Source organism: Homo sapiens, chromosome 14 (genome assembly GCF_000001405.40).
Source record: "Homo sapiens chromosome 14, GRCh38.p14 Primary Assembly".
NCBI classification, from domain to species: domain Eukaryota; kingdom Metazoa; phylum Chordata; class Mammalia; order Primates; family Hominidae; genus Homo; species Homo sapiens.
The window spans coordinates 34,165,020-34,177,913 of NC_000014.9; the positions used below are offsets into that span (position 1 = coordinate 34,165,020).

Here is a 12,894-nt window from a genome sequence, read left to right on the forward strand (position 1 = left end):
GTATTTTCAAATATTCAAATACTGTAGAATAGAGAAAATGGATAAAGTTTAGTTATATGCACCAATATTTTAAAATCTCAACATAATATTAAGAATAAGAAGTGAATCACAGAAATTTTTAAAAAGGCAAAAGTGAAATTATTATTTTGAGCTATACTTACAAGTGGTGAGATTATAAAGAAAAGCAATGAAATTATCACAAGGTGATAATTTTAATATTATTGCATATGTATTAGAGATTTGGCAGGAGGGTAGTAGTGAGATGTGATTGCAGAACGGCCCAAAGAGCACTTCTAAAATACTATCAGTGTTCTTTATCTTAACCTGAGTGCTGGATCCACAAGTATTTGCTTCATTAGTCTTCTTTTGACAGTATATATACGTTTTTTACACTCTTCTGTTAATTATTTCACAATTTTATAAAAAGCAGAGAAAAGACATTATGAGAATATGGAAAACAAAGATAAATCTTTGAACAGACTTCAATTCTTATCCTTGGGATAAATTTCTAGGAATATCATTGTTAAGTCAAAAGGCATGAATACTTTTAAAGAGTCAGCATTGATACACACCTGAGCAGTCCCCCTTATTTTTAGTTTTACTATGTATCCATGTATATACATTGCCTCACTCTTTTCTGAAACAAGGTGAAGGCTATATAAACCAATAGTAAGGTAAGGAAGTGGTACGAGATGTGGGTTGCAGAGCTATGTTGCATGTGTGGTGTTTCTCCCCAATGAGAACTTCAGTTACATTCCCTTGCAAGGCTGCAAATGTGATGGGTGTGTTATTCCAGGATCACAGAGCCTTCTCCACAAACCAAAGAAAGAGACCAGGAAGTCTTCTCACTTTCAGCCTGAAAATACCCTTCCAGGTTCTCCTGCCTGTCCATAGACAAAGGCCTTCTCGGGCCATCTAATATCAGCTTTCCTATCTACCTGAAACTCACTGCAGCCTTTTCCTCTGTATGCGTGAGATTTATTATCAGCTCATTTTGATGGAAATGCAGTGACTTCAAAACCGCTGATAGCTATCAGCAAAGAGCTGACAGCTCCTAACATAAACATCCTAAGAGATACTTCCTTTTTTCAGGTGCTTTGCAGGGTATGGAAATAAATATCGTTGACTGGGCACAGAGAGAAAAATAAAAAAAAAAAAAACTCTACTTGCTGCAAAGACCTCAGGAAAAGCAGAAGCCGGTGCAGTGCCTGTGTCCTCAGCCTAGTGTTGTCCCAGAGACAGCCCTGCCCTACAGCCCAGTTCAGTCACAGCCCTGCAGACACCTACCATTGCACTCTCCTCCTATCTCTAGCAGAGCCCTTCCCAGCACAAGGCAAATACTTGTCTCTATGCCTGTCTCCCTCTTTCCCCATTCGGCTGTGCCTTGAACATCTTTGATGCTCAGCACCCAACGTGATGACTGGTACTTAGAATCTACCGTTCAAAAAAGCCTCCCTCAAAGATTAGTAGCACCCTACTCTTTCCACCCAAAGGAAAACATGGGTCCAGACTGACAAAGACACACGTCCAAAGCCACAGAGAGTGTGGTAGAGGCAGAACCATTAGTCTTCTGAATCCCATTCCTATTTACTGCGAGGAATAAAAGTTTCAGTAACAGCTATATTGTATACCAGTTCCTGGCCTCCTCAAGTCTGCATCTCTGCCCTGGCAGAAACAAAATGAGCTAATTAAATGCTTGCCACTGGCTTATTTTGGAAACTTCATGGACTGTGTGAAAGCCCGAATAAATTTCAGGCCACTATTGATTACTTCAAATGCAGAGGAAATCATCCAAGCATGGGAAGAAGGTGAGGAAGCTAAACCCGTGGCTGAGGGTTATTAATATTGTAATGCTTTTGCTTATTGGTGCAGAAAAGCAACTCTTGGCTATATAAGGGACTAAAGCTTTAAGGCTATAATGGAGGAGAGTAAATAGAATCCTTCAAGGTTGAAGAAGAGTCCAACCAAATACTCGACCTAATTGCTTTGGAATAACCAAGATCACCCTGCTTACTGCGGGAGAAAGAAAATCAATAGATTGCATTTAGAGGGAACTAAAAGCACAATTGGGTCATCCTCTGTGTGGCTGGTAGAGAATGGTACCTTGGCACTGATCCCCAGAGGGTGGCAATTAAGTGAAAAACAGTCCATGCTGCCTAACGTAACCCAGCAGCTTTTAAATATAAAATAGTTCACTGCAAATGTAAAGGTTTCCAGAGAATCTGCAGAAACACCCATCCTTGAGAGGCTTTCATAAGGCAAGCGAAGCCTTGCTCATCCTTCTCTCCAGCACATATGCTAGTAAGATGGGATTTCATCCACTGGAAAAACTGATCAGGTTCTGAATAATAGCATTAGTCTCAATCACAGAGATCCGGGGGATCCAAATTAAATCTCTCCTATTTCTCATGAAGACCTTTTAGACTTTCAGTCCAGAGTTTTGCATGCCCAACTTTTGAACTTTCCTATCCCAAATTAACCAACATCATCCATCACATAGGAAAACTTCTTCAGAGAACATAGGATGCTTTGAAAAAATAGATGCTACTGTTCAACAGTTGGCACAGGACTGACCCTAACGAACAAGACTTAGACATACCTAGCCTCAAGTCGTGACCATTCCAACCCATCACCTCTTTGTATTCACCTTTTAGTGATAAATTTTAGGTAGGAAGTAACTGACATTTGTGAGTTCAAGCGAGGATTCAAATGGACACATAAACAAGGCGTATTATTTGTTTCAAAGTAAGTTATGTATCAAACTATTTCTAATACCATGTCAAACTACATAATTCTAAAAACACCTTAAAATTAAGTAAAGTAAACCTTTTTTGCAATATAGATTTGGGGGCCAGGAATAATTCATTCTCTGTAAGCAAAACAGGTTTTGTCCCTTTTACACAATTGTCATTTTCTGGGGAGAGGGTACAGTTGGATTCATGGGTTATTCTAAAGTCAGCTACAGCATGGCCCATCCTTCCCTGTGACTCTTCCACCCAGTCCATTGCTTGTCAGACCCAAAACCCCTGCCCTGCAAACTGTTGGATCCTCCTGCTCCTCGTCCTCCTTTGGCTGTGGCCACAGCCTCCTCTGGGCTCTGTCTCTGGTGCACTTGCTCCACCTGAAGCCTTGCACTGTGCTACCACTATCCCGTGTTTCACGTCCTTTGTAGCTCTTCACTGCCTAGGGAAAAAGCCCAAGCTCTTCAGCAGAATCATCATGACCCCTCTCAAAAGTCCCAGGCTGCCTTCCAGCCTCACCTCTCTACCCTCCAGCATCCTGTGCTCTGGTCTAGCCAGAGTCCCCCTTTCTCAAATAGGCCTGGTATTCATGCCTCTACCTTCTTTGTACAATACTCTGCCTAAAATAATTTTTCTTGCTCCCTGGCCACGAAAACTTCTACTTATTCATCTACATGTAGTTCCCCACTACTTCTTAAAGCTTCCCCCTCTCCCCTCAGGCAGAATTATCTACCCTCTTCTGCACTTCCATTGCTTTCTGAAACAGTATTGGTTACATATTTATCACCCTGTGAACACCACCAGCTCCTCGTGGGCAGGGCCCTTGCTGAGCTTAATCTGTGTGTCCTCTGTGTTCCCCTCTGTGCCAGCACATAGAAGCTATACTACATCTTTGCTGAAAGAATTGATTCTATTGGATTGATTTCCAGAGAAATGGTATTGTTCCCAAGAGTAGAGGTTGGGACTCTCACCTCTATCAAATACTTTACCAATAGTGACAGCTCAGTGAGGTACGAGGCAACACCGACACCCACTTATTTTACAAGGCCGTTTATTTGATCACCAGGTTTCGTGTGTAATGCTGATACTGCTGTGTCGACAATATGACATCTTCTTGTTGTCACACACGTTTTACAAGGGATGCTTCTTTGCATCTCTATCAGAGTTCATGAGATGAAGACTGTGTGGGCATGCTGGCTTGCCTGCTGACGGGCACAAACTAAGCACCTAGGAAGGGATTGCTGAATTATAATTGTTTGTCCGATTTTTAAAAGAGTATGTGGGGATATTTCTCCTCTCATAACTCCCTTCTTTGGTCTTGGGTCTAGTTAAACACTTAGTTCTATATTCCACTTTCAACTCCAAGACATGACATACTCACCCTCACTAGGCCACGCCTTTTCTTATGATCTTGACTCATTTACTCATTTCAAATACTGTTAAATTTTTAAACATTATTTTATATACATTCACATGGCACAAAACTTGAAAGGAATTATACATATATTAAACATAATAAATCACCTGGTGAAAAATTCTAAAGAACAAAGATTATAAGGGAAAATTCTTATCACTCACCCCTCTCCTTCCTTGAAGGCAATCAACATTGCCTGCTTCTTCTGTGATCTTCCAGGGAGAATCTATGCATAACAAGCATATACACTTCCTTCCATTTTACACAATTGCTAACATATTATACACACTATTCTGCAATTGCTCTTTTCACTTACTTTCTCCTGGGGCTTGTTTTGTATCTGTCCATTAAGAGTGTCCTCGTTCATTTTTTATAGAGGCTCAGTCTTCCACTATGGCTTCAAATCACTCCTCCAAGAAAGGCAAGTGTCGTGCCCAGGCCCTGACACGTTCAGGCTGCCTCCTGGTAGCTGCTGTAAGACAAATGTCATGGGTTAAACAGGAAGCATAGTTCCCTTGAAAAGGAGCACTGCCCCGTGGGCATGTGGCACATATATGGACTGAAACCATACTTTGGCCTTTGCTGTACCACATCTAGCTGCATTATTTGGCCCACAAGATTTTCTGAAAGTAGAAAAGTATACTTGTGACTCCAGTGCATGAATAGGGCACTTTATTCTGAGTAGAGCCTTTGGTTAATGCCTCAAGATAAACATATGATTGGCTAAGGATATGCTCAGCAAGTCTCTTAACTTAGTTTTGGCAGATCCAAGGAATTTATTATTGGTGAGATATAATTGTTCAGCTTATAGTATTTGTACCAATTAGGCATTATTTATACTATAAAATAAATATTATGACTAGAGTTTCAAATTCACCTCCATCATAACCCTTAAATGTTTTTTATTGGAATAAGAACCAATAGGACCCTGACAGATATATTTTTGGATCTCTCTCTCTCTCTCTTTTGCTCTCTCTCTCTCCCCCTCTCTCTGTGTTGTATAAATAGCAGCCATCAACTACTAGCCACATGTAATCTGGGTTTTTGAAATGTGGCTAGTGCCATTTGAGGTGTGCTGTAACTGTAAAATATATACCAGATTTTGAAGACAACATAAAATATACATTATTTCATTAATAATTTTATACTGATTATGTATTAAAATATTTTTGATATATTGAGTTAAACATTTTAAAAATTCCTTTTACCTGTGTCTTTTTCTTTTTCAATGGGGCTATTAGAAAACTTAAAATTACATTTATATCTCCATTGGAGAGTCTTAGTCTATACCATGCATTTATTTCCTGCTTAATAAGAAGGCAGACTAGAATGATAAAAGTACTTTCTGCAGGGCCGGGCGAGGTGGCTCACACCTGTAATCCCAGCACTTTGGGAGGCTGAGGTGGGTGGATCACCTAAGGTGGGGAGTTCGAGACCAGCCAGACCAACATGGAGAAACCCTGTCTCTATTAAAAATATAAAATCAGCCAGGCATGGTGGCGCGTGCCTGTAATCCCAGCTACTCAGGAGGCTGAGGCAGGAGAATTGCTTGAACCTGGGAGGCAGAGGTTGCAGTGAGCCAAGATTGCACCATTGCACCCCAGCCTGGGCAACAAGAGAGAAACTCCATCTCAAAAAAAAAAAAAAAAAAAAAAAAGTACTTTCTGTTTTAGCTTCTAGAATCCACTTCTTACCTTTCCTTTTGTTAACAGATTTTAAGAATTTTAAAATGTACAATTCCAATATGATTATCAAAAGGTAACAAACAGAAGAAACCAAAAAAATGTATTTTGAAAGAACAGTTGGTTTTGTAGATTAGGAATTTCAGAAGCATCAAGGAAGACATCACATTCACCAGCAAGTTACATTTGGAAATGCTTGGAGGGGCTCCTAACTCACTGGGAACAGGTTAATGGAGCGTGACTGGAAGGAGCAGTAACTGAAAAGACAGTTCCTGACTTCCCCAGATCTAAGGCCTTAGAATGATGATACTCCTCTCCAGACATCCTTTGATGCTCTCTTCATCCAGTTTTCCTTTTTCTCTTGCTGATTTCAACTTGAAAACTCAAAAGCAGAGTGTTAACCATACTCAGGTAAAAATCTCTAGGATCTCATACTTCCAATTTAAAATAAAGTCATCTTTGCAGGCTTCCTTTTTGTAAAAAATATGAATTGCCAGATCTCTATTTTCATTATCAAAATACAAATATTTTTCCAGATTCTATCATAAGAAGAACATTGTGCTGGGTACAAAGAATAAGAATGTACAAGACACAAATGTATGTAGAGGCATACAGTCTAATGGGGACATACAAAGCAACCCTTCTCTCCCTCTCTCCTTTTTCTCAGTCTCTCTTACTTCCCTTTGCTTATGTAATCATTTCTTCCCCATCTGAAAAGGAATACTTTGTTGTGAACTGTCTGGCCTCCTGGAGTAGCTCATGAGACTCGCTAACCACCATTATATACGTAAATGACTCTCTACCAGTGCCCATCCCGGAGCCCACTTGCACAAGTTGCCCACGTGAGAGGCAGCTCAGTCCCAAGTTGCCTGCTGTCTGGAGCATCAGCCATTGTGCGTCGGTTTGGGGTTCACTTAAGATCACCATTGGTATTCTCTGTCCACAGCATCTGATTACATATAGCAGGCTTCTCCTGATCAGAAGTGACACAGGACTTTCTCTAGACAGTTCAGCTGCTCTTGCTGGGGAAACTTCTTCCCTCCCAAAGTGCATTTTATTTACATAATGAGACGTATATCTTGAGTCAGGCCATTTGACCCTTACCCTGCGAATTTCAGCAAAACCCAGATAGCCAGTTTTGCATGGTGTAAAAACAGAGAAAAATTTAAACTGCATTTGTATAGATTGTTGAGGGATTTTTTTTTCTCTCCACAGGGCTGGACAATCAAGGGAATATGGAAGGAAGATTGTTGTCTGATAATATATTTTCTCTTTTCAAAGCCACATTCCAACATTTGACATATTTTTCTATTTTTTCTCCTTGGCTAGATCTAGTTTGTTAAGTTTCTTGGCTCATATCCCTCCTTGACTTTCATTTACTCCACGTTCTTTTCTCTGTGTTAATGGTTAACAGAGCATGTACTGTAAATTAGCATTTATAAAAATCAATTACACTGCTTCATAAGACAGAGCAGAAACTTAGATTGTCTTCACCAGATCATTTGTATTTATCTGTTAATTATAAACCTTAATTGTCTCTTTTTATCATATTAATTTGCACAAATTGTACAACTTCAGAGTTTAGCAGTTTTTAAGCCCTTGAAATACAATTATTCTCTTAACATTCTTTTCAGAAACATAGTATTCATTAATGATTAGGTTGGTAAAAATTAGCAGTTCTGATCATTGGCCTTGGCTTCTCCTTGGATTTTTTTTTTTTTCTTTCCCCACTAAAGTCCTGGTTCTCACAATTACACATGTCTGTTGGCCTCTTCCGGTGCCTGAGCTCTGTTTTAATTGGACTTCATCGCCCCTGAGACTTCACAGGATTTTGGCTCACAGTAAAATGCAGATCTATGCCAGTGAACTGATTCCAAGCAGGTTTGACTCTTTTCCCCTCTCCCCAGCAGAACTTGGACTTTTGTTCCATGGGGTTAGTCTACTTGCCCTGAACCTTGGTATAAAAAGACTTCTATGTGAAGTGAGGAAAAAGACTTTCCAATTTCCAGTCCCACTTGTGAGAGAGTTTTAGGCTCTTATACTCGGTGCAAGCATGAGGAAGGGGGGCTCTCTAGACACTCCCCAACCCACTCTCAGCTATGGCTTTGTTTCCACTCAGTGTGCCAGCCACTTAGAAGGACTCATATGTCACACAGCATGTTTGCAAAGACCAAAACAAGCTTTCTTCTTTCAAAAGGATGTACAAATCTGGGTTGTTAAGCAAGTAATCCAGACTGAAGGACACTGCATCCTGACCACCCTGGAACCAGGTGGCTTCCTGCCCGGGGCTCTGTGGACACCTTCCAGAGGACTTGCATCCAGCTCTGATGACACTGACAGACAATCTGCATGCTCTGTCGCCAGAGGCTGAAGAGCTCAGGAGCAATGAGGTTGAAGACACCCCTTGTACCCCGGTGCCCCACATAAGAGAGCAAACTACCAAGAGGGGAATTTCTAAGGTCAATGTCAACCATCTTCATACCACCTTTCCAGCCCCAATTTCCACACCATCCCTATCCTGCAATCCCCGTTTGGGAGCAAATGTCTGATACAGCTAGCATTCTTTGAATTCTCTGACTGGGTATCTGGAAATGCTTAGCTTGCTGTGGTTGTGTCCCTTCAGAAGAAATAGTTCAGCAGTTAGGCCAAATTTTCTCATGTATTACCTCAGATGGGACCCTAGTCAGGTGCAAGTCGAGTCCTGAAGTCTGTGAGCTAGAGTGTTCCAGGGATTTTTTTCATTTCATTGGTGGGGCTGCTGTGGGAAGGCGGGCTGGCCAGAAGGGACACAAGAGAACAGGTCTCTCATGTACTGGAATATGGGATCATTTGCTCTATCACTACAGCAACTCTATGATACTCTTCAGATCAAGTTACTTCTATGAAAAGGTGTATTTTTCCATATACAAAGCACTTGCCAGCCAGATCTGTGAACGTTCTCCCGATGGCCTGGTTTCCCCCAGTGCTGGCTTGTACCAGCTCATGCCACAGAAATATGGTCACGTTACCGCCCAACGATCTCTCCCCATCCCATAGTTTCCAACCACTGGGGCATTTCAGCCTCTTATGCCAGTGTCTGGCCACATGGATGGAATCTTCTGACAAAATAGGAAGCTATTCCTGGGGATTGACAAATGTTGGCTGAACATAGCCATTTATTCAGCTCCATGGCTCTAAACCATCACTTCTGTGAACTGGAAGACAGGACTGCTACCATTTCCTGGACTGGGTTGACAAGCAAAGGCCAAAGGGGTGAGAATGCACCTCCATGGACAGCAGCTTGGGGTATGGATGGGAGATTGACGTGGAGCTCCGCATAGCAAAGAGCCCTTTGTGTGGCAATCTCTCTGCAGGAAAAGCACTGGGTATTCTCGGCTGTCTCAGGCTAACTGTGATAGTCTTTGCCTGCTATTTTTGCTTCTCAAGACCCAGTGTGAATCAACAAATGTGCCAGCCATGCAGATCTACCCCTGCAGCTACCCTTAGATAGGGACCTTGATGCAGTGTGCAACCTGTGCAACTACATGCACTAGCTCTATTAAAGAGATAACCAGAAATAATGATAATAGTGGCTAATGAGTTCTTTACTTGGTATGGGTACTGGGCCAAGAGCATCATGTATATTATCTCATCTAATCCTCACATCAACCCAAAGTACTATTCTTACCCTATTTAGATTTTGTGGGACTAAGCAATCTGCCCAGACTAGAAGCTACTATGTGACAGGGCCAAGATTCCAGTGCAGGATGGTCTTATTCCAGAATCTGAGCTCTTGACCACTATGCCGTATAGAGGTAGAAACATAGAAACCTGTGTAACTTTGGATGTCTATTGAAATAAATGGTACTCTCTTAGGGCAGGTTGCCTTGATGCAGGGGCTTGAGAAAGGGGTTTGGTTGCCTGTGATCTGTTGAGGGCAGGTTCTTCAGGAGAATCCTGTAGGCTAGCGGGAGAAGCAGGACAGTTTGGAAAGGGAAGATGCTGAGTAGGAATGTAGCCTCAGGTAACATCCAGCATGACCTGGTCCAGTGTGGGTCTGGAGCATCAATCATCCAGCAGCCTTGCCCCACCTTGCAGCAAAGGGGCCAGACTCTTAGACTCCCCCGCATAAGTCATTCAGTCATGGGCCATAGGGGTTGAGCAGTGGAAGTTCCTACATATCTCCCAGTGAGGTGACTCCCAAGAAGGTAACAGACATTAAGCCAAGCCGTTGGCTCTAGCACTTGCAGCAGCTGGAGACCAGGTGCAGCAGCAGGTAAAGGGGATCTAGGTGTGGTGTCAATAGCATCGATTACAAGCACCCAGTACTTTTTGGCAAACTGCCAGCAAATGAGGCCTCTGTGATTATTTTAGGGCACAATTCCACTTGATTTAAAAGTAGAATTTCATCCATCACAGTCCAACTACCATCAAATTTAGGGCAGATATAATGTGCTTGTCACTCTCTAAGAAGACAGAACACCAACACGCTGATCAGAAACCATCATTCTGCTATTCAAAAATCTGCCAGGCTCCCACTGCCTCCTCCAAACTACCAAGAGAGAAATTACCAAGGTCAGTGTCAACAGTCTTCAAACCACCTTTCCAGCCCCAATTTCCACACCATCCCTTCAGACACCCTATTCTGCAATCCCCATTTGGAGAATTCTATCCATTCAATCATGAACTTCCTCACTCCCATGCTTATATTCATGCTATTGCCTGAATTTGGAATGCCCTCTTTCATCTCTTCTCTGACTACCGAAATCTTAGTGAAGGCTCTTTTGTTGTAAGAAATAGAAACTCACTCTAGCTTAAGTAAAGTGAGACTTATATAAGGAATCGGCATCTCTCAGGAAGAATGGGAAGGCCTTCACAAAGGAAATGCAAACAGGAACTGAGAGTCAGTGCTCCCTGACCTGTGGCACTTTAGTTATAGCACAAAATTTTGAATGTGGCTTCTCAGTTAAGACTTACCTCTTTATTGCACCCCTCACACAGGAAGGAGGCCTCAACAGCCATGTGCAGGCTCTATCACCCTGTTCTTACTTCAGGGCCACAGTTATTAGATCAGGAAGAGATACCTGATATATCTGGGGCAATTAGAATTTAGAAGTAAGACTAAAAGTTAGATCCTGGTTCAGTCTGGCCTACTGTATCAAGAGAAATATAAACCTGGAAAATAATGGGGTGACCCATCTTGTACCTACAAGGTGAACCAACTAGTAGAGAAAACCAATCTGCAAGCAGGAGAGAATAAAGCCAGAATGTGGTGAGAACTGGCCAGGTCCTGACAGCTTTTCAGTTTCTTGTTGCAATCTCTTCCGGATTCAGGCAGTTCCAGTCTCTGCCCTTAGGTTCTGTGATATTCTTATACCCTGGATCCTCATAATAAAGGCTTCTTTTCAGGTTAACAAGCTCAAAGTGAATTTGGGAACTTACAAGCAAAGATTTCTCAACAATACCTGCATCTCTCTGTGTCTGTTTCAGTCTTCTCTTCCCTTGTTTTCACTTCCTATCTCTTCCTTCACAGCCATTCTCCTCTCTCTCCCCATCTCTCTCCTGTCTTCCCCCACCCCACCCCAACCTCTGACTCCCTCATCCCAGCATTGCTTCACTTATCTGCTCCCAAAACCCAAACATGGCTACAGCAGCCTCCTTAATATCTTACCATCAACAAAGCCACCATTCAGCAGCCTAGCATCCTTAGTTCTCAATTCTAAATTCCTAGGAAAATTTAATGACCCAGCCATTGTGTCATTTCCCCTAAGACCTCTGGATCTGACCAATTAGATCCAGAATCCCATATAAACACAGGTGCAGAGTCCACAGCCACTATGGGGAGGCATGAACTAAACATCCTAAATACCAGTATGCCCCAGTGAGGACTTCTATATCTCCCAGTCAGATTTTATTACTACTCCCTGTATATTTCCATCATATCTTGCTTGTATTTCTAATGACCTTGTCATTTTCCATTGTATTAAATCTTATATATTTATTTGATGTTCCTACATCAAAACCTTCTTGGGGATATGGTGGGCATACTGTAAGCACTAAAACATTAACTTGAATTGAATCTAATTTGTGTACATGAATGGGATGTGTCACATCTGCAGTCTGATTTTTGATAGGTGGTTCAAAAGACGATATATACTTTGGGATGGGGAGCCTTTCCGAAATAATTTTTCTTCTATATTTCCAATTATTCTGTCCTCTCTGATCCACAGAACTTTACATATATTTATTAAACACTCATCATGCTGAGTAAGTACCGAATGCCTCAACTGAACTATGAGGTCTCTGAGGCCATATTTTGTTTGTTTGTTTGTTAATCTTTCAATCCTTAACCTAGTACAAGCCTGACACACAGAAAATGTGTACTGAATATTGTTTGTTGAATTGGGTTGAATCCCAACCCATGTGACATTTGGGCTGAGGACATCTCACTTTCTGGCCATCATTTACCTGGCCTTCTGAGTCCTTTTTGAGGGTGAGTACGGTAAAGCTTTTCTTAGAAGCCAGTTTTGGCTAGACTACAACCTTCCTTCTCTGGAAGGACGCTCTTTGTTTTATTACAATAGAAGAGCATGATAAATAATGTTTCCCATAAGAAACATGCTTCCTCTTTTTGACAATTTTGACAGCCTATTGTTTAAGCCTGAAAAAGTAGTCCAGAAATAATTTACAGAGGAAACCTGGCTCAGGTGTCTTCCCCAGATGCTACTGGTATCTTGAGACCATCCAGAGAGGTAATTTACACACACATATGCATGCACGACAGAATTTAAGTGGGTTTTGTGTTTCCGAGGGTGTCCAAACACTAACATTTGCCATCTGGTCTGCTCAGATGGCTGCTTCTGGTGTCTGCCCCAATGTCTGGGTTTACTTGCTTTATTCTTCAAACATTTACAAAACTTAAGCACTGCACTAGGCACAAAGGATGCAAAGATGGAATGTGGCACTCTCCACTTTCAAAAAGTAAGTCACAGACCATGAAAAAATAATTGCATGAGGATGCAATAAAGTAAAACTACCACACGCTAAAGTGAATCTTACAACACAATTCATTCAATGA

At 41.7% G+C, this 12,894-nt stretch overlaps 1 long non-coding RNA gene across 1 annotated transcript in view; it reads right to left on the reverse strand.

Annotated features, from left to right (window-relative positions):
• LOC102724945 (uncharacterized) overlaps positions 1 to 12,894 on the reverse strand; it is a 244,858-nt gene that overhangs the window by 206,149 nt on the left and 25,815 nt on the right. The window contains exon 2 of the long non-coding RNA XR_001750942.2: positions 4,472 to 4,627. This is a non-coding gene — a long non-coding RNA (uncharacterized LOC102724945). The remainder of the gene's footprint in view (positions 1 to 4,471; positions 4,628 to 12,894) is intronic.